General features: G+C 44.5%; 1 protein-coding gene across 8 annotated transcripts in view, besides 2 other annotated features; it reads left to right on the top strand.

Annotated features, from left to right (window-relative positions):
- The window catches only part of SORCS2 (sortilin related VPS10 domain containing receptor 2), a 550,290-nt gene that overhangs the window by 203,568 nt on the left and 326,610 nt on the right, over positions 1 to 20,112 (top strand). For all 8 annotated transcript variants that reach the window (XM_005247987.5, XM_011513515.3, XM_011513516.3 and 5 more), the window contains exon 2: positions 183 to 250. In XM_005247987.5, the coding sequence (XP_005248044.2) occupies positions 183 to 250 (68 nt within the window). The remainder of the gene's footprint in view (positions 1 to 182; positions 251 to 20,112) is intronic.
- Positions 3,057 to 3,558: an enhancer, noted in NCBI's record as "H3K4me1 hESC enhancer chr4:7400889-7401390 (GRCh37/hg19 assembly coordinates)". NCBI's record gives its function as "activates a minimal SCP1, AML or CMV promoter by ChIP-STARR-seq in primed H9 embryonic stem cells {active_cell/tissue: H9 hESC(primed)}" and the evidence as "EXISTENCE:reporter gene assay evidence [ECO:0000049][PMID:30033119]".
- Positions 18,400 to 19,078: an enhancer, noted in NCBI's record as "OCT4-NANOG-H3K4me1 hESC enhancer chr4:7416232-7416910 (GRCh37/hg19 assembly coordinates)". NCBI's record gives its function as "activates a minimal SCP1, AML or CMV promoter by ChIP-STARR-seq in primed H9 embryonic stem cells {active_cell/tissue: H9 hESC(primed)}" and the evidence as "EXISTENCE:reporter gene assay evidence [ECO:0000049][PMID:30033119]".

Below are 20,112 nucleotides of genomic sequence, written 5' to 3' on the forward strand. Positions count from 1 at the left end.
CACGTCTAAGGGCTCTCATGTAGGGTGGCCCAGAGCCTCTCAGGGATACTGACTAAGAGAGGCCCCTGGGCGGCTGTTATTTAGAGACCCCAAATTCTGGCACGGAGTGGTGTCACTGTACCTCTCTTTGAGAACCTTGGCACCCACTGATTTCTGCCTTTTACTTTCTGTTAACACCACAGGTGATCTTGATCCTGACGAAGTACTACCACGCAGACATGGGGAAGGTTCTGGAAAGTTCTCTGTGGCGGTAAGTCAGCCCGATGGCAGGCCTTTCTCTTATGCACCTGCGTGCCATCTTCCCAGGCTCTCAGCTGAGGACCGAGATCCAAACACCTCACTGTGGCAGCCCCTGTGAGTCAGTGGCCTCGCAACTTTTCTTTGGCTAGAAAATGCATAAAGGAAAAGTTGAAAGTAGCTTAACAGTTTGGGCAGTGGGTATAAACTGCACTGCAGAATAGACAACTGTTCAGAAAGCGTCTTGGCTTTCTTTTCTTTCTGTTTTTCTCCCCGCTTCCTTTTTTTCCTCCCCGGAGGAGGAGGGTTTGCATTGTGAATTCAGGTCAGTGCACAATTTCCCTTCACTTGTGCTCAGAACTTCACACGCAGCTCCTGGAGCCCACCAAAGGCTCTGATTATCCTCATTGTTTGGGCGTTTTTCTTTCTTCCAGGCTTAGCCAAAGAGCTTGGTAAATAAATAAGCCACTGGCGATGGGGGATATCTCTTTATGTGTGAAATGTGAATTCAGTCCAGGAACATTAGATTGCCCCTTTGATGTTTTAAATGAGATGAGAAAGAAGGAGGATTTGAGAACCCATTTTGGTTATCATCCTCCTCAATATTTACATCCACTCACCCAGGAAGGGTACAGATGGTCCCCAGCCTCTGGGCTGTGGTTTCAAAGCTTTTCTCCTGCAAAAGATTCTCTTTCTTCCATGTACCGATTACCACCTCCATGTTCTCTGGGTGTGAAACCATTTTGGTTTCCAACATATGTTTCTCAAGTAATAATTAATTCATTTTTTCTATTTGAAATCCATAAAAAGATGCCTCTACCTGCTGATCAGGACCTCGAGTTGGTTTATTTTCCATTTTTGGCTTTGCTTTTAGCTAAGGGGTTTGGTGATTCATTCTGTTGGTTCTTACGGAGGGATTTCTGCAATGCTCTGGGAAGTTGTTGAAACATGTCTGGAGTTGGGTTCTTTCTTTGTGGTAGAAGGAATGGCATCACCTGGAGCCCACAGGCCTGGTCATCTGTGCTGCTAAATGAGGCCAAGCTCAGGGTTTAAGACACTCACAGTCCCCCGAGTAGTCCTCAGCCGCTCCCAGCAAAAACGCTTTTCCTAGAAGCTCTTCTCGGTGTGGATTCACTCCCCAGACCCACTGGTCTCTTCTAATTCCGTCGTCACCACCAGAAAACGGGGGGTGAGTGATGGGTCGTATCCCTGTGTAGAGGACAGATGTTCCCTGCCACGGCCCCCCGTTGCTTTGTGTGCTGGTGGGGTTGCTTTAAAAATGTCTCGTTCCTCCGGTGCTGGGCTCAGCAGTGTTCACTACTTCGAGACGAGAGCAGAAAAGTGTAAGCTCCGTGGGCCCTGTGAAATGTCATTGCTGCTCTTTGAAAATGTATGTTCCAAGGCAGGTTTTGGAGGCAACACTCCTGGACAGGGCAGGCCCAGGGAGGGCGCCTTCACTGCTGGGCAGAGGGTCTCAGGGTGGGTTCCTCGGTGACAAAGCGGACGGAGATGGTCAAGTCTTCTTCCAGCAAAGGCCCTCAGTTAGCTGATTTGCCCCAACTCCAGTATGTCTGTCAAGTGCTGGGCTGCAGTCCTCCTTGGCATGGAGGGATCTGCCTGGGGATACCCGCCTCACAAGTTTCCAGAGTACCCGCTTCCCTCCCCTCACTGCAGCCTCTCAGCATGGCTGGATGTGGAGGCAATGAGACTGTGTGAAGTGTCTTCTGAACAGGGAACGATCTTTTCTTTCCCGGTGTGATCTGCACTTATACGACGGAGTTGCCGGCTTAGTTTACGTTTGCTGGAGTCCTTGTGCGGTGGGGGTGGGGTGGGACTGACTGTGTCTGGCCCCCTGGCATGGGGCCCAAAACCACTTACAGGCTCCAGACAGGATTCCTCAGAAGCAGGTGGCAGCAGAGAGGCCAAACCACCCACTCACAGCTGCTCCAAGGGTGGGGTGGTGGGGACTTCCTTCTGCTCCAGAGAGCCTCCGTCTCCATGTCTGTTAAATGGGGATAAGATGCCCCTGAGGGGAAGTTGTGAGAACTGAATGAGGAAATGTGTGAAATGTCCCTAGAACAGTACGTGATCTAAATTCAGTTTTTCTCCAAAGCAAATTGACAGATTTTAATTTTCCGTGTTCCCTTCTCATCACTGTCTCTATACCCAGATGTTTCTTCGCCTTTATTAAAAATGCTTGCAGAGACATTAGTCATCTCACCAAAGTTCACCCACATCCCTACCCATCGGAGCAATTACTTTCTTTGTTTATATTATCTTTTCTGATGCTAACATATTTATATAGGTAGAGACACAGAATGCAGTTTTATATTCTTTTTATCATTTTTAAAATATGTTTCTAGTTTTTCCATGTAGTGACAGGGTCTGCGTCATCATTTCTTTTATGGCTGTTACGAGCCCCTGGAGTTGGTTCACTCTAATACTTAGCTGTCCCCTTATTGATGCTGCCATAAAAAATTTAAGCAGGTAGTTTTCATTTTCATTTTGTTCCCTGGAATGAATCAGTTACATGACTGAGCCAGGGAGTGTGAATGGATTTACAGCTGGTGCGCAGTGGCATTCAATTCTTCCTCAAGACGAATGTGCATTCCCACCTGGGCAGTGCCCTGCATCCTGCTGGCGACTTTTCTAACTCCTGCTCATTTGACAGGAGGAGCTGAGGGCAGGAAGGGGACGGCATCATTGCTTTAATTTGCTTTTTTTTTGTTGTTTGTTTCCTAGTAAGGAGGAACAGTTTTCTGTTTTAATTACTACTCACATTTTCTCCTTTGCACATTACCTGCTCCTGTCCTCACCCTCTGTTTTGGGACTCACGCCGGAAGATGGTGCTAAGAGTTGAGAGCTTGCCATCACTCTCTCTTCAAGATGCTGCTTCCTCCCACCCCCACCCTCTGTCTGCATTTGAGGCCCCTGTGGATGGAAGGCTGGCGGTGCCCTCGTCTGGAGAGCACATATTAAATAGGGCTATTAAAGACACAATTAATGAATGTGCACTGAGTCTCCTAAGAATCCTTCTGTGTAATTGCAATAAATACACTTTTAATGACAAGTATGGTCTTTTCATTCTGAAAGTGGCTCGAAGCTGAATGTGTTTTTAATTGTCCTGCATTTGACGGGCCGCATGTCAGCGGCACCCCCTCCTGGCTTCCCTGATGATCCAGTGCTCTGCCCCTTTCTTCTTGTGGTGGTGATGGGGGTCTCCTGCTCAATCTCAGGCCCCCTTGAATCGGTGCAAAAGGCTGGGGGTGAGGAGGGAAGCACCATTCTTCCCTGGAAAGCCCCTGGTTGGCATCAGGGTTTGAAGTGTGCAGGGCGTGCTCCTCCACGTGGTCTTGCCCTCACAAGCCACAGAAGCCACAGAGGGTTGAGCAAAGCCCAATGTGTAGACTGCGGGGTCTCACCAGAGGCACAAGAAAGTCACTTAGAAAAGCCCTTATAAAGTGCTGCAGTTTGGGCCAGCCAGGGAAGGCGTGAGTTCAAGGTAGGTCCTCCCAGAGGTTTTCCCCGGGAGAGGATCTGGTACAGCACTTCTCAGACTCCACGGGCACTCGAATCTCCTGGGATCTTCCTGCAAGGGACACATGGTCAGATTCCACCGGTCTAGGGTCTGGAGGGCAACCCAAGACTTTGCATTTCTAACAAGCTCCCGAGTGCTGCCCATGCTGCTGGTCTGGGGACCACACTTCAAGTAGCCAGAGGTTGGGCTGGTTAGGACCGAGGTTTAAAATCCTTCCAGGGTACTTGAAATAACATACAAGCCATACCCCCTGCAAAAACCCCACCCCCGGCTCCTACCCCATCCCCAGTCTCAGCTCCTCCCACTCTACCTCTTACTGTTCAGTGTCCAGTGACAGTAGCCTCTTGGCTGACCCTGGACTACACTAAGCTCAGTCCCTGTAAGGGCTTGTGCATGCTACGGCTGCTGCCTGGAGTGCATGTGGCACCAACCCCAGGTACTGGATCCTGCCCCCCATTCAGTCTCCCCATAAACCTCTTTTCTTCAAAGAAGCTTCCCTCACTACTCAGTGCAAAGAGGCCCCCAGGCATTCTTTATAACCTCTCTCATTGAAATGTGGGAGTTCCTGTTTATGGTTTGCCCCACCACCACCACCACCACCACCACCACTAGAACATAGGCTGGTTGAGGATGCGAGGATGGAGACCTGCCAGGTTTATCTTATTGATCACCAGATCCCTGGAACCAAACTCAGATCTGGCATAGGAGATACATGTTGGGCATTGGATGAATGGATTGACAGATGGACAGCCGGGTGGATGGATGAATGGACAGATGGATGGATGGACAGATGGACGAATGGCTTGACAGATGGATGGATGAATGGATGGATGGATGAATGGATGGATGGACAGATGGATGAATGGATTGATGGATTGATGGATGGATGTATGGATGGATGGACAGATAGATGAATGGATTGATAGATGGATAGAAGAATGGATGGATGGATGGGTGGATGGGGAGATGGATGGATGGATGGATGAATGGAAGAATAGGTGGATAGATTAATGGATGGACATATGGATGGATAGATGAATGGAGAGATGGATGAATGGATAGATAGATGGATAGATGAATGGATGGATGGATGAATGGATAGATGAATGAATGGATTGATAGGTGGATAGATGAATTGATGGACAGGTGGATGGATGGACGGACAGATGGATGAATGGATTGATGGATGGATGAATGGATGGATACATGGATAGATGAATGGATGGATAGATGGGTGGATGAATGGATGGATAGATGGATGGACTGATAGATGGACAGATGGATGAGTGGATTGATGGATGGATGGATGAATAGATGGATATATGGATGGATGGGTGGGTGGATGGATGGATGGATGGACAGATGAATGAATGGATTGATGGATGGATAGACAGATGAATGGATTGATGGATTGATAAATGGATGGATAGGCAGACAGATGGCTGGATAAATAGATGGGTGGATGGACTGATGGATGGACAGATGGATGGGTGGATGGAAGAAAGGATGGATGGTGATGTGGTTTTTGGGAAACACTGCTGAGACCGAGAAGACCCTTTACATTTACAGGGTCATCTTAGGGGATGCTGTGGAAGCCAGGAAATCAGAGTTGGCTCTGATTCTGTCAGGAGGAGCAACAGGGTTCTGCAAGCATTCTGAGCTGGAGAGAAAGCTTACCTTGGGCTGCTCCCTATGTCCTGCCTCCTGCTGTGATGCAGCCTCAGGGATCACCCTTGCTTCACACTGAGCACGGCTGTTGGGCAGAGTGGATTTGAAACAGAGGGACAGTCCTATAGACCAGGGGACTCTGTGCCTGTGCCATCCCTGAACAAGGACCACACTAATGCTGGGCCAACCCTACCACTTCCTGGGTGCATTTGACCTCAAGCAGGACCTTCATCCAGGGGCAGTCTCAGGATAATTGGGGGTGGAGCTGGTCTCAGGTTTTCTCTAGAATGACTTGGTTGAATCCTCTCCTTTTTGTTAGGGATAGGAAGTGATTCTTTTTCGTTATCTTCACTTTAATTAAGAAATCTTGAACATATCCTGAAAAGTACCTACCATGGTAGGACACATGCCCAGGTACTCATGAAACAGAGCCAAATGAATGTTCACTAAATAATCCATCATTGCCTTCTTCCCGGCCTCCCCTGTGGTTAATTTGGGGTCGCATGATTAGTGTGGGCCAGTGGATGGTGAGCAGGAATAATGTAGGTGCCATTGAAATTTAGGGCTTCAGTTTTTACCACACCAGAGCCGAGTCCAGCTCAATGCCTGTAATCTAGCTGTCATCAATGTCAACTTTTTCCATATATGTTTGGAATTGCTCTCTCTCAAAGAAATACACTATGATAGCTTCTCTCCTCCATCCTCTCACACCCACCCTCACCACCCACCTGGAAGTAACCTCTACCCTGAAATTGGTGTGGGTCATCCCCCTTTTATATTAAAAACATAAAACACAATATACACATCATAATGTATCTTGATTGTCTGTCTGTATGTATATATGTATGTCTCCCTGCAATCAATATGTTCTGCTGCTTAGCTTGTTTTGCAAAGAATGGCATTACTTTGCCTTTTGAAGTTTGCTTTATGTGCCCAACTTTGTTTAGGTAATTTGTCCATGTAGCACGTGTAATCTATTTGATTTATGTATTCCCCTGCTGTGGGAGAGCTAGGATTTCTATCCTGAGATTTTGCCACTCCAATCAGGGCTGCAGCGAGCACCTGTGAACACGTCTCCAGTCAGATGCTTGGATAGGGTGGAAGATGTGTGCACAACTTTCTTTTTCTCTACCTATTGCCAGCTTATCTGTGAGGTGACTCACTGCTCCACACCTTGGAGTCATCAGACTTTCCATGTTTGCACTCAAGTGGGTGTGAGATTACAGCTTAATCTTGTTATTTTGCATCTCCCTCATACCTGGTAAGATGGAACATATTTTTCTGTGTTTATTGACTTTTTGGGTCTCGTCCTCTGTGACTCACCTGCTCATATCTCGTGCCTGTCTTTTTACATTGGGTTGCTTAACTTTTTCTTGACCCGTACCTCTCTACTCTAAAAAGCCCATGTCATTTCCAGGCCCCTTAATTTTAAGATGTGCCCTCCAAATGTGTCTTGAACTCCTGCCAGGTACCATTCATTCTTTCCCAACACCTTCTAAGGAGGTTTCCTCCTAAGAATGTTTTGCCATACCACATTCATGTCTCGAAGTGCAATTGTTAGAATAGCAATTCTGATGGATGGTGTATTAGTCAGCTATATGGCAATAACGAACCCAGTGGCATGCACTCAGCATTTATTCTCACATCACTGTGTTGACTGTGGTTTGGTTACTTTGGCCAAGGCTTGGCTGGGTGTTCAGGCTGTTGGCTGATGGGCTTGGGTCTGCTTCATATCTGTTTATACTGGGACTCGAGCTGACAGGAACAGGACTGAGGCCACCAGGACATGTTCTTCTTATGCAGAACACCAGAGCTCAGGAACCAAGCTCAACCACACAAGCACATTTTAAGACTTCTGCTCAACTCACATTTGCTAGGGTTCCATTTGCCAAGCCATGGTCAGGTTCAACCTCAGTGGGGCAGGGGGAGTACAGTTTGAGGAGGTTGGTGGGGTGGAGGGAAGGGAATGCTTCCTGAATGGTAATTTAAGGTATTTCAAGTAATAGCTGATTCCAGAGAATACATATGGTGTGGTCATATTTGATAAATATATTTTAGGGAAGAAAGTTTCAGATTTCTTTACGGTAGGATTTATCAGCGTCTCTGATACACTAATACACATTATACTTCTCCAGGAGAAGGTTACACAACATTTCTTAATCTCATTTAATTCCATAATCTTTAATTTTTCTTTAAATTTTATTATGATTTATATATATATAAATTTATGAGGTACAAGTATAATTTTGTTACATGTGTAGATTGCATAATGGTGAAGTCAGGGCTTTTGGAGTATTCATCACCCGAATAATGTACACTGTATGCACGAAGTAATTTTGAATACTCCACCCCCCCGTACCCCATCACAATTCCAAGTCTCCACTGCCTGTCATTTTCTCTGCCTCCATGTGTGTATATATATATATATATATATATATATATATATATATTTTTTTTTTTTTTTTAGTATCCATTTATGAGTGAGAACATGTGGTATTTGTTGGCTGTAAATATGTGGCTTTATTTCTGGGTTCTACGTTCTGTTCCATTGTCTTTCTGTGTCTGCCTCGTTTCACTTAAGGTAACAACCTCCAGTTCTATTTATGTTGCTGCAGAAGACATGATCTCATTCATGTTCATGGCTGAGTAGTCTTTCATTGTGTATATACGCCACATTTTCTTTATCCAGTCATCCATTGATAGACACTTGAGTTGATTCCACATCTTTTCTATTGTGAATAGTGCTGCGATAAACATATGAGTGCAGGTGTCTTTTTGATATCCTAATTTCTTTTCCCTTTTCCTCTGGGTAGGTACCTAGTAGTGGGACTGCTGGATCTAATGGTCATTCTATTTTTAGGTATTTGAGCAATCTCTGAACTGTTTTCCGTAGAGTCTGTACTAACTTATATTTCCATGAACAGTGTACAAGAGTTGCACTGTTCCACATCCTCACCAACATCTGTTATTTTTTTGTCTTTTTATTAATACCCTTCTGACTGGTGTAAGATGATATCTTATTGTGGATCTAATTTGCATTTCTCTGATGATTGGTGATGTTGAGCATTTTTTCATCTGCCTGTCGACCATGTGTATGTCTTCTTTTGAAAAATGTCTATTTGTGTCCTTTGCCCACTTTTAAATATGATTATTTGTTTTTTGTTGTTGTTGAGTTGTTTGAGTTCCTTATAAAGTCTGGATATTAATCCCCTGTTGGATGAATAGTTTGCAAATATTTTCTCCCGTTGTGTAGGTTGTCTGTCCATGCTGTTGGTTATTTCTTTTGCTGTGTGGAAGCTTTTCAGTTTAATTAAGGCCTGTTTGCCTATTTTTGTTTTAGTTGCCTGTGCTTTTCTGGTCTGAGTCATAAATTCTTTGCCTAGACAAATATTCAGAAGAGCTTTCCCTAGGTTTTCTTCTAGCATTTTTATAGTTTTGGGCCTTACATTAAAGTCTTTAATCCATCTTGAGTTGATTTTTGTATATGGTGAGAGATAGGGGTCCGTTTTCATTCTTCTGCATAGGACAATTCATTTTTCCCAGCACCCATTATTGAAGAGTGTGTGTTTTTCCTAATTATGTTTTTGTCAGCTTTGGCAAAAATGAGTTGGCTGTAAATACGTGGCTTTATTTCTGGGTTCTCCATTCTGTTCCATTGGTTTATGTGTCTATTTGTATAACAGTACCATGCTGTTTTAGTCACTGTAGCCTTGTAATATAATTTGAAGTTAGGTAACGTGGTGCCTCCAGCTTTGTTCTTCTTGCTTAGGATTTCTTTTGCTATGTGGGCTCTTTTTGGGTTCCATTTGAATTTAGGGTTATTTTTTCCAATTCTGTGAAAAATGAGTTGGTATTTTGGTAGGAATTACATTGAACCTGTAGATTGCTTTGGAATGTATGGTCATTTTAACAGTATTAATTCTTCTAATCCATGAGTATGAAATGTTTTTTCATTTGTGTCATCTACAATTTCTAAGGAGGCGTTTGTAGTTTTCCTTGTAGAGATCTTTCACTTCCTTGGTTAAATTTATTTGTAGGTATTTTTCTGGTAGCTATTTTAAATGGGATTGCCTTCTTGATTTCATTCTTAGCTAGATCAATATTGGTATAAAGAAACACTGCTGATTTTTGTGGCACTGATTTGGTATCCTGCAACTTTACTAAATTCATTTATCAAATCTGTTTTTTCATGGACTCTTTAGTTTTTCCAGCTATAAGATCATGTCATCAGTAAACAGGGATAATTTTACTTCCTCTTTTCCAATTTGGATGCCTTTCATTTCTTTCTCTTGGCTGATTGCTGTGGCCAAGACTTCCAGTACCATGTTGAATACGAGTGGTGAAAGTGAGCATCTTGGTCTCACTCCAGTTCTTAAAGGAAATACTTCCAACTTTTCTCCATTCAGTATAATGTTGGCTGTGGGTTTGTTGTATATAGCCTTTATTATTTTGGAGTATATTCCTTCTTTGCCTAGTTTGTATGTGATGTATCATATTTATTGATTTGCATATGTTAAACCATCATTGTATCCTTGGTACAAAATCCACTTGATTGTGGTGTATTATCTTTGTGGTGTGTTGTTGGGTTCAGTTTGCTAGTGTTGTGTTGAGGATTGTTGGATCATTATTCATATTGACCTGTCGTTTTTTTTTGTTGTGTCCTTTTCTGGTTTTGATATCAGGGAAACGCTGGCTTCATAGAATGAGTTTGGAAGTATTCCCTCCTCTTCAGTTATTTTTGAGCAGTTTGAGTAGGATTGGTATCAGTTCTTCTTTAAATGTTTGGTAGAATTGAGTGGTGAAACCATTGGATCCTAGGCTTTTTTTTTTTTGATAGGAGACTTTATGACAGCTTTGATTTTGTTACTAATTGTTGACTTATTGAGGTTTTCTGTTTTCTCATGGTTCAATCTTGGTGGGTTGTATGTGTCCAGGAATTTATCCATTTCTTCCAGGTTTTTCAGTTTGTTGGCATATAGTTGTTTATACTTGTCCTAGTAACTCTTCGTATTTCTGTGGTCTCAGTTGTTATGTCTCTTTTTCATTTCTGATTTTATTTATTTTGAGTTTTCTCTCTTCTTTTCTAGTCGGTCTACTTTGTTGATTTTGTTTATCTTTTCAAAAGACCAACTTTTCATTTCATTGATTTTCTGTATAGTTTGGTAGTCTCAATTTCATTTATTTCTGCTCCGATTATTAGTATTTCTTTCTATTAATTTTGGATTTGGTTTGTTTTTTCTAGTTCCTTGATTTTTTAAAGTTTATGTTTATTGCTATAAACTTTCCTCTTCGTATTTCCTTGCTGTATCCCATAGATTTGGGTGTGTTGTGTTTCCATTTTAGTTTGTTTCAAGAAATTTTATAATTTCTTTCTCAATTTCTTTATTGACCCATTGGCCGTTCAGGAGCATGTTGTTTAATTTCCATGTGTTTGTGGAGTTTCTGATGTTCTTCTTGTAATTGATTTCTAGTTTTATTTATTTGCGGTCAGAAAAGATACTTGATATGATTTCTACTTTTAAAAATTTGTTCAGACCTGTTTCGTGGCCTAAGATATGGTCTATTCTGGAGAATGTTCTATGTGCTGATGAATTCTATAGCATTTGGGTGAAATGTTCCATAAATGCCAGTTAGGCCTATTAGGTCTGGTGTGTAGTTTAACTCTGATGTTCCTTTGTTGATCTTCTGTCTGGGTGATCTGTCCATAGCTGCTCATAACTGAGAGGAGTGTTAAAGTCCCCTGCTGTTACTGTATTTCAGTCTATCTCTTCCTTTAGATTTATTAATGTTTGCTTTATATACTTGGGAGATTCGTGTTGAGGGCATAGGTATTTAGAATTGTTATATCCTCATGGTGCATTGACCCCTTTATCATTATATAGTGACCTGCTTTGTGTCTTTTTACAGGCTTTGATTTGCAGCCTATTTCATTGGCTATAAATAGAGCTACTCCTGCTCTTTTTTGGTTTCAAGTTGCATGGAATAACTTTTTCCAGCCCATCACTTTCAGTCTATGTGTCATTATAGGTGAAGTGGGTTTCTCATAGGCATGATATAGTTGAGATTTGTTTCTTTATTCATTCAGCCACTCTATACCTTTTCATTGGAAAATCGAGGTCACTTACATTCAGTACTATTATTCATAAGTAAGGACTTACTATTGCCATTTTGTTGCTTGTTTTCTGTTTATTTTGTATATCCCCTCTTCCTTTCTTACTATTTTTCTTTGTGGTTAAGTGCTTTTTCTCTAGGAGTATGTTTAAATCCATTGATACTTATTTTTATTAAATCTATTATAGGTTTTTGCATTATGGTTATCATGAGGCTTATAAAATCATATAGCATGTTATTTTAAAGTGATAATAATTTAGATCACAAAGAAAAGAATAGAAACAAAAAAAATTATGCCCTTTATCCTCATCTCCCCCATATTTTTACTTTTAGTTGTTTCAGTTTACGTATTTCTATATTACCTATTTCTCAGCAAGTTGTTGTAGCTATTACTGTTTTCAATAGATGTATCTTCTGGGCTTCATACTAGAGTTATGAGTGGATTGTGTATCACAATTATGGTATTAGAGTATTCTGGGTTTGTCCATGTCCCTAATTTTACCAATGGATTCTAAACCTTCAGGGTGTTTTTTATTTTTTATGTATTTTTTGCATGCTAGCGTTTTAATTTTTTTTCCTTTCAGATGGAAAAACTCCCTTTAACCTTTCTTCTAAGACAGATGCGGGGGTGGTGAATTCCCTCAGCTTTTGTTTGTCTAGAAAAGACGATATCTGTCTTTCATATTTGAAGGATAACTTTGCTGGCTATAGTATTCTTGGATGACAGTTTTTTTTTTCTTTTAGCACTTTGAAAATGTCTTTCCACTCCTTCCTGGCCTGTATGATTTCCTTTGAGAAGTCTGTTGCCGGATGAATTGAAGCTCCTGTATGGGTTATTTGCTTCTTTTCTCTTGCTGCTTTATAAATCCTCTCTTTGTCCTTGACCTTTGAGAGTTTGATTATTATATGCCTTGGGGGTAGTCTTGTTTGGGTTGAATCTGTTTGGTGTTCTCTGACCTTCCTGTACCTGGATATTTATATCTTTTTCAAGTTTTGGAAAGTTTTCTGTTATTATTTCTTTGAATAAGATTCCTAACTCTTGCTCTTCCTCTACTTTCTCCTGAACACCGATAATTCTTACATTTGCTCTTTGAGGTAATTTTCTGTATTTTGCAGGTGATCTTTGTTCCTTTTTATTCTTTTTTCTTTTTTCTCCTCTGACTGTATTTTCAAATAGCCTGTCTTTAAGCTCACTGATTCTTTCCTCTGCTTGACCCATTCTGCTGTTGAGAGCCTCTAGTGAAATTTTCAGTTCCACAGGTGTTTTTCTCAGTTCCAAGATTTCTCTCTGTTAAATTACTCTGATAAATATCTGAATTGCTTTTCTGTGTTATCTTGAAGTTTTCTTAAAGATGCAGTTTTTAATTCTTGGTCAAGGAGCTCACGTATCATCATCTCATTAGAGTCAGTTACTGGTTTCTTACTTTGTCCATTTTGGGAGATCATGGTTCCCTGTTTGCTATTGTTTCTTGTAGATGTATGTCAGTGTCTTTGCATTAAAGGATTCATTATTTACTATAGTCTTCTCTGTCTGACTTGTTTTGGTTAAAGATTCTTTACTGCTAGGCCACTGCCTCCTTTTGGACTCTAAGTGGTGCCTTAAGCCCAGGTTCTCCTTGGCTGTAGTAAAGGACTGGAGTGCTGCCTTTCCCAAATAGGGGAGGTCTCAAAGGGGATTTCTGGGTAGTGTGGGGATGGCAGCCATGGGTTCATGCCCAGGAGACCTGTAGAATAAATCTCCAACAGCATGGTGCTGCTGAACAGACACTCTGATTTGGAGTCCCCTTTGGCCAAATTACAGAGCAGAGTTTTCACGGCTGGGCTTGGTAGTCCTTCCTCCCTTGTCTCTGATGTCCTCAGGGATATTTCTCCCTTCAGCACTTGAGTTGTTTTCTATGGATCATGGCAGGAACAGTCTCCCGCCAGAGAACCCAAGATGATGGGGAAGCTGGTTGTCCACCTCAATCCCACTTTTTCCAGGGCAGAAACAGTGAGTTGGTGGTAAGTTTTCTGCAGGCTCAGTGCCAGGCAGGATGGGGACAGAGGCATCAAGGATGTGGAAGTCCAATTTTCTTACCATCTGCTCTGAGTCTTTTCACTTCTCTGTGGCTCTGGGAACAGTCTCATCTTCACATTTGCATTCTGAAATATTGCTGGTGATCATCTCAGTGTTGTATATTTGTTTTTGGTTTTCTGTGGGTGGGAGTGAAGCCAGGTTGCTTCTATGCTACCATTTTGGAACCGGAAGTCTCCTTGTTTTTTTCTGTCTTTTAATGTATAGAATTTTAACATATGTTGTGAATGCAGTCTGAGGAATTTGAGCAGTGAAGCCCAACAGCAATGCAGCGTCCTCTGACGCTCACTGATATAAAGAAGCATCAAAGTCCTTCTCTGCAGAGGCCAATGATGGCCCTGGGGGACATCCCCATGGTGTGACCATGCTGAAATTGACAAAGCCTTCTGCAGAGTGTCTTACCAGCCTATGGGCTGTCCTGGGTATCACAGCATTCCTCTCTGTGCCCCCATAATGTTGGAGCAAACAAAGAGCTGTCATGCTGATTAGGCTGTTCTTGGTAGATAACGCTGAGAGTTCATAGCCAGTTTTCAGATGGGAAAATTTAAGAGGTGATATGCTTTGCCCTTTGGTCATCCAGAAAGAGGGGGACTTCAGAGAGAAACAGTCTTACACTGTAAGGGGAACTCTACCCTTAAGGTGATGACAAGCATGGAAAGTCCTCTGTGCACATAGACAGGCCTTCGTTTCAATTCTGGCTCCATATTTCCCTTCTTGGTGACCTCTCTGGGTCTCCTCTGTAAAATGAGCCTAAACATTCAGACCTCATTGTAGACCTCATGGGCTCTTATGAAGATGACAGCAGACAATGCGTGTAAAATGCTGGGCACTTAGTAGATGTCAGAGGTCTGTTTCCTTCCTTCTCCCATTACCTAAAATGTCCCATTGGCTTTTCACCAGCTGCATTTTTGCTCCCAGGCCAGTCTCCCTCAGTGTTTGCTTTAACATCACCATGGAGATCTGAGTTTGATTTAAACAAGAGTCACAGCAGATAGGGATTGAGAGAGAGGCCCTGACTGTAAAGCTTTCAGGGTTACAGTGTATTCAATAAATAATTCACTGTGAATCAATGATTTGATGAGGTTAGGCTCTGAGGCCTTGAGGTGCCTTTAAAATGTTCTGGGACAAGATCTGAGGTGACTGAGAAATCACGAGAATTTGAGGAGACTTCTCAGCATTCCTAGCCCCTGGGCCCAGCAGCCTCTTCTCTCCATCCTTTTTTTTTTTTTTTTTTTTTTTTTGAGACGGAGTCTGAATCTGTCGCCAGGCCAGAGTGTAGTGGTGTGATCTCGACTCACCGCAACCTCTGCCTCCCGGGTTCAAGCGATTCTCCTACCTCAGCCTCCCGAGTAGCTGGGACTACAGGCATGCATCACCACGCCCAGCTAATTTTTGTATTTTTAGTAGAGACAGGGTTTCACCATGTTGGCCAGGATGGTCTCCGTCTCTTGAACTCGTGATCCACCCACCTTGGCCTCCCAAAGTGCTGGGATTGCAGGCATGAGCCACTGCGCCTGGCCTCTTCTCTCCATCTTGACTTTAATACCTGCCCTCCCTTGGGTCCGGGCTCCAGGGACCCCTCTGTCACTGCTTCTAGCTTCTCTGCCTACTGACTTTCCTTCTTTTTCTCTTTCCTCTCTTCCCTTCTGCCTTTTTCCTTCCCTTGCTCCCCCTTTCCCATGTATCCATCCACCTATCTGATCAACCATCAATGCTTTCTTCCTTCCTTCCATTCCTCTATCTTCTCTCCTCATTTCTATCCACCCTTCCCACCTTTGCTCCTCTCTCCCTCCTTCTCATTCTTCCTTCCATTTGCTATCCATCCACCCATCCATTTCTTCATTCACTCATCCATCATCTTAACCATCCACCCATCATCCACCCCTCCATCCACCTACCTGCCTTTCCTCCCTCCATCCATTTAGGCTCTGGGGTGGGGTGAGCTATGATAACTGATATCTAAGACTCAGAGTTTAGTAGGGGTACAGACAAGGAACCAATCCATGACAGTGGCATGTAATCTACCGTATGGTGGGGCTGAAAGAACCAGGGAAGCCTTAGACACCCCTACTCCATTGGAGCAGAGGAAGTGGTAGTCATGTAAGACTTCCTGGAAGGAGATTCACCCCTGGTTCCCAGACACCACAGCCTCCCTTCTCTTAAAGCTGCCCTCCCTACATAGTGCTTTCAACACTGCTACAGCCACGATGCCTCTTTGTGTCTGCTCCCAGCCCAGCACACCCCCACCATCCCTAGCATGTATGCTGCCAAGGTCTATCAAGTCTGTGCAGCAGATGCCAGCCATCCTTCTGTAATCCTAGGCTGTGTGGCAGAAATGCAGCTGCTGGCCCAGGAGGTGGTAGGGACACTCTGCCCCTCTGTACTCTGGCTGGGCCTGGGTCCCAGCTTCTGCTGTAGGAGCTGCCCGGAGTGTGTCACGGCCCATCGGGGCTCACCCTGGTGTTGTGTGCCACCCGCGTGTCACTCTCCTTTCCTCCCCTGCATCCTGCTCACTCGGCCTTGCTCCTGCAGGCCGATGGCCACCCCCTGGAGTTAGTTCTCAGGGAAAAAGCAAACTGGGGCAGAAAGGGGTCTCAACTTCTTCTGAGTGAGGCTGGCAGCTTCTGCTCCAGCCAGAGCGTTTGTTCTGAATTTAGCTTTCTGACAGTGTGCAGGGGGGTCTGGCTTCTCTCCCTGGCAGAGTGACAGCCCTGCCCATCCAGACGACCCCGTGCATTCTGAGCTCACAGCCAGCTTCCTAGCCCATAAGATCGTCTCAGATGCTTTTTTAAGAACTGGGGGACAGATGCTCAGTGGAGATGGGGAGCCTGAAATGTCGGGTGATGATTTGATTCTGCACCTGTGATCAGCTGAGAATCGTCTCTCAGGGTTGGTCCTCCCAGCTCTAGAGGATTCTCCCTCCAGAGTTCTCCCATCAGCCCCTCCCCACCCCTGGGGCGGGGGCCCTCCCTGCAGGTCTTGCTCCTCCTGCTGGGTCTCCCCAAGCACCCTTGCTGCTTCACCTGTCCCCCTGGGCTCAGCTGTCCTTTCCCCATGGGAGCCCTTTTGGATCCCTCCTCCCACCCAGGCTGGGTCTTGCCCCACCCCTGGGCTCTCCCAGGGCCTCCGCCACAGCCCCCATCCTGTCCCCACCATGGCAGGCACCTCCTTGTCTCTAGGGTCTGGGTTTTTGTGTTCTCTGCACCTGGCAGAAGCTCTGGGACCACCATGAGCCCAGGGGCTTTCAGAATGGAATCCACATCCACGAGGCATCATGCGTGAATTTCAGTGTTAACCGCCTCCCATTTCCTCAAACCAAGGTACTGGGTAGTGCCTTAAGGTACTGGGTAGTGCTTTAAGAATCTCTTCTTAAAGACATTCTTAATATGGGCAGGGCCAAATCCCTCTCCAGAAAAATTCTCCCTCAAAAAGTACCACATCTTTATATACTGTAATTATAATTTGTGATCATCATAAACACGGCGTAAAAACAATCCCCTGTGTTAACCCCACCTCATGAGATTCGAACTATTCATATTTGAGATAAATATTCTCACTAGTCTTAAGATGCAAATATGTACGTGATTTATAAATTTAGAATTCCAATTGAATTATGTATTAAACATGTTCTTATGATCCTCCGTATTTTCACAGCTGCTTTTTTTTTTTTTTTTTTTTGAGATAGAGTCTCATTCTGTCACCCAGGCTGGAGTTCAGTGGTGTGATCTTGGCTCACTGCAACCTCCACCTCCTGGGTTCAAGTGATTCCCCTGCCTCAGCCTTCGGAGTAGCTACATGCGCCCGCCACCATGCCTGGCTAATTTTTGTGTTTTTAGTGGAGATGGGGTTTTGCCACATTGGCAAGGATGGTCTCAAACTCTTGGCCTCAGGTAATCTGCCTGCCTCGGCCTCCCAAAGTGCTGGGATTACAGGCGTGAGCCACTGCACCTGACCCACAACTGCTATTTTTTAATGGCTGTATAATATAGTTTCACATGAAGGAGGTGTTAATTATTTAACCAAGTCCTCATTTTTAGACCTCTGAGTCATTTCTGATTTTCACTAATGCCGAGATGTAAAGGGAGCTGTGGTGGGTGTCCTTGTACATACCCTGCCCCACGTCTCTATGTTCTTAGGGTAAGCTCTTCTGTGTGCCCTTTTCCTCCTGCCTATCGGATTGCAGGGTGCTGGGATTCTGGCGTGGCTTTGGGTGTGTGGAGGGCCTGTCTCTGAGGCTGTTGCTGATGTTACTGGAGGATGTAGAGACGAAAGAGCCATTTAGGGAAGAGGTAGTAAGATACATGTGAGATCAGCCTCCTTTCCTGGTGTGAATGTATCTCCAGCTAAAGGAAAGCTCGACAAGGCGAGACAAGGATACGCTTGCTATTCTGTAAATCCCATTAACGGATGCAGGCGCTGCTTTAGGCATCAACAATTCAGACTGCACAGAACACTGGGGCCAGCCAACCAGGATCCTGCCAACCAGCAGAAGAACAGAGGACCCAGGGTGGTAGCCCACAGTTGCACATGGCAAGACCTGGCTGCACTTAGGTGGTAAGGAGCCCCGTCCTACCCCCGGGCATGCTGGGATAGGTTCCCCTAGGAGGGACTTTGGAAATAGCTTCTGAGGGATGAATAGAAGTTTTCCAGGCAGGGAAGGGCAAGTGGAACAGAGGAAGGCAGTCTAGGCAGTGGGAGCCGCGGGGCAATGGCTTGGAGTGTTGTACCCAGGCAAGTTAAGGAAACACCACACTTTGAGATGAATTAAGAGTCTTTTATTAAGCCGGCGGCCAAAGAGACAGCTAATGCTCAAAATTCTCTCGGCCACGAGGAAGGGGCTCGATTAACTTTTATACCTAGGTTTAGGAAGGGGAGGGGGACTCAAATGTAATAATTCTACAGAAGTAAAAACATGCAAGAATCAAAAGAATCAAAATGGTTACAGAGTGATAAACAACTTAAAAGACAAATGGTTACAAGAAGAGCAACGGTACCAGGTGCAAGGTTCTAAATCTTTCATTATAATTAGATATAGGGTCTATGCTGGACACGAACTCAAGGTTTTATGTTGTTATTTTTTGGAGAAAATTCCTGGGAACTTCATACATGGTTGGTGTTGGTACCTTATCAGTTAATTGCGCTCCTTTGAAATGCTGAGGATCTGTTTACCCAGGCCAACTCCTCACAAAACGGGGTTGGGTGAGGAGCCCTTAGTGTCTTGTAAATTAAGGGGTCAGTTGGAGTTTGTCCGGCTTTCCTAGCTAGAGAGAGTCTTATTTACATGAGAAGCAAGGCTAGGTGATTAAAGAGACAAGCAGGACAAAATTCAAAGTAATGAGTTAAAGTAAAAACGAGGTAGGCATTTCAGGAGGCTGGGAGCTGCCGGGGTTTTGGGGCACGCCTTGGTAAGTGCATAGGCTGGTGGCCAGGATGTCCTGTTTTCCATGGCTGCCGTAAAAATGACCACAAACATAGGACTTGAAGCAACACAGGTGTGTCATCTTACAGCTCTGGAGGCCACAAGTTCAACCAGGTCCTACTGGGCTCCAGTCAAGATGTGGACCGGGTCGTTTCTCTCCCAGGGCTCTAGGAAAGAATCCATTCTCTTGCCTTCTCCAGCTTCTAGAGTTGGAATGCAGAGGCTGCCTGCCATCCGTGGCTCAGGCCTTCCCTCCCAAGCCAGCAGCGTCACCTCCCTCTGACCCTTTTTTTGTTGTCCCACATTGTTCTCTGACCACAGCCAGAAAAGGTTCTGCCTTTTAGGGACCCCTGGGGTGACACTGGGCCCACCTGGATAATCTAGGATAATCTTCCCATTTCTAGGTCCTTAATCAGACCTGCAAAGTCCCTTTGGCCAGGTAAGGTAATATGCTTGCGCTGTGAGCATTAGGATGTGGACCTGTTTTGGGGACCTTTATTTTGTTGAACACACAGGCATGAAGGCATCTAGAACGATGGTCAGAAGTTATCAGTTGAAGGCCTTGCTGGGGCACCAAGATTGAACACAAGATGTGAAGAATCGTTTCTCGATAACCTAATTTTGTAAACATTCTTGAGCATGCCCTCTGTGCTAGGCACTTTGCCAGGTCTTAGGATTGACCAACCTTGACAAAGAGGAAGGGATGGATAGGGGCCCAACATCCAGTGTTGAGGGCCCTGCAGAAGAGGGCAATTGGGCATTTCAGAGGAGATGATGTCTGAACTGGACTTTGAAGGATGGATAGGAGTTTTCAGGCAGACAAGGGAAACATGATGTGCAGAAACACAGAGGCATGTAGCAGCCTGGTGTGGAGGGACCCTAAGGAGTTTAGAGCGGCTAAAGCGTTAGGTGGGAGGAGGATGGCAGGGGAGTGCACTAGTGATCTAGCCAGGGTTGGATTAAGGAGGCCTCATGTGCCGGCCGGAGGGGCCTGGACTCTGTTCTGTAGGTGATGGGGAGTTAGGCCTGGGATTTCAGTAAGTTAGGCTTGTGGACTCGAGCAAA

The sequence above is a fragment of the Homo sapiens genome, chromosome 4, assembly GCF_000001405.40.
Source record: "Homo sapiens chromosome 4, GRCh38.p14 Primary Assembly".
Lineage (NCBI taxonomy): Eukaryota > Metazoa > Chordata > Mammalia > Primates > Hominidae > Homo > Homo sapiens.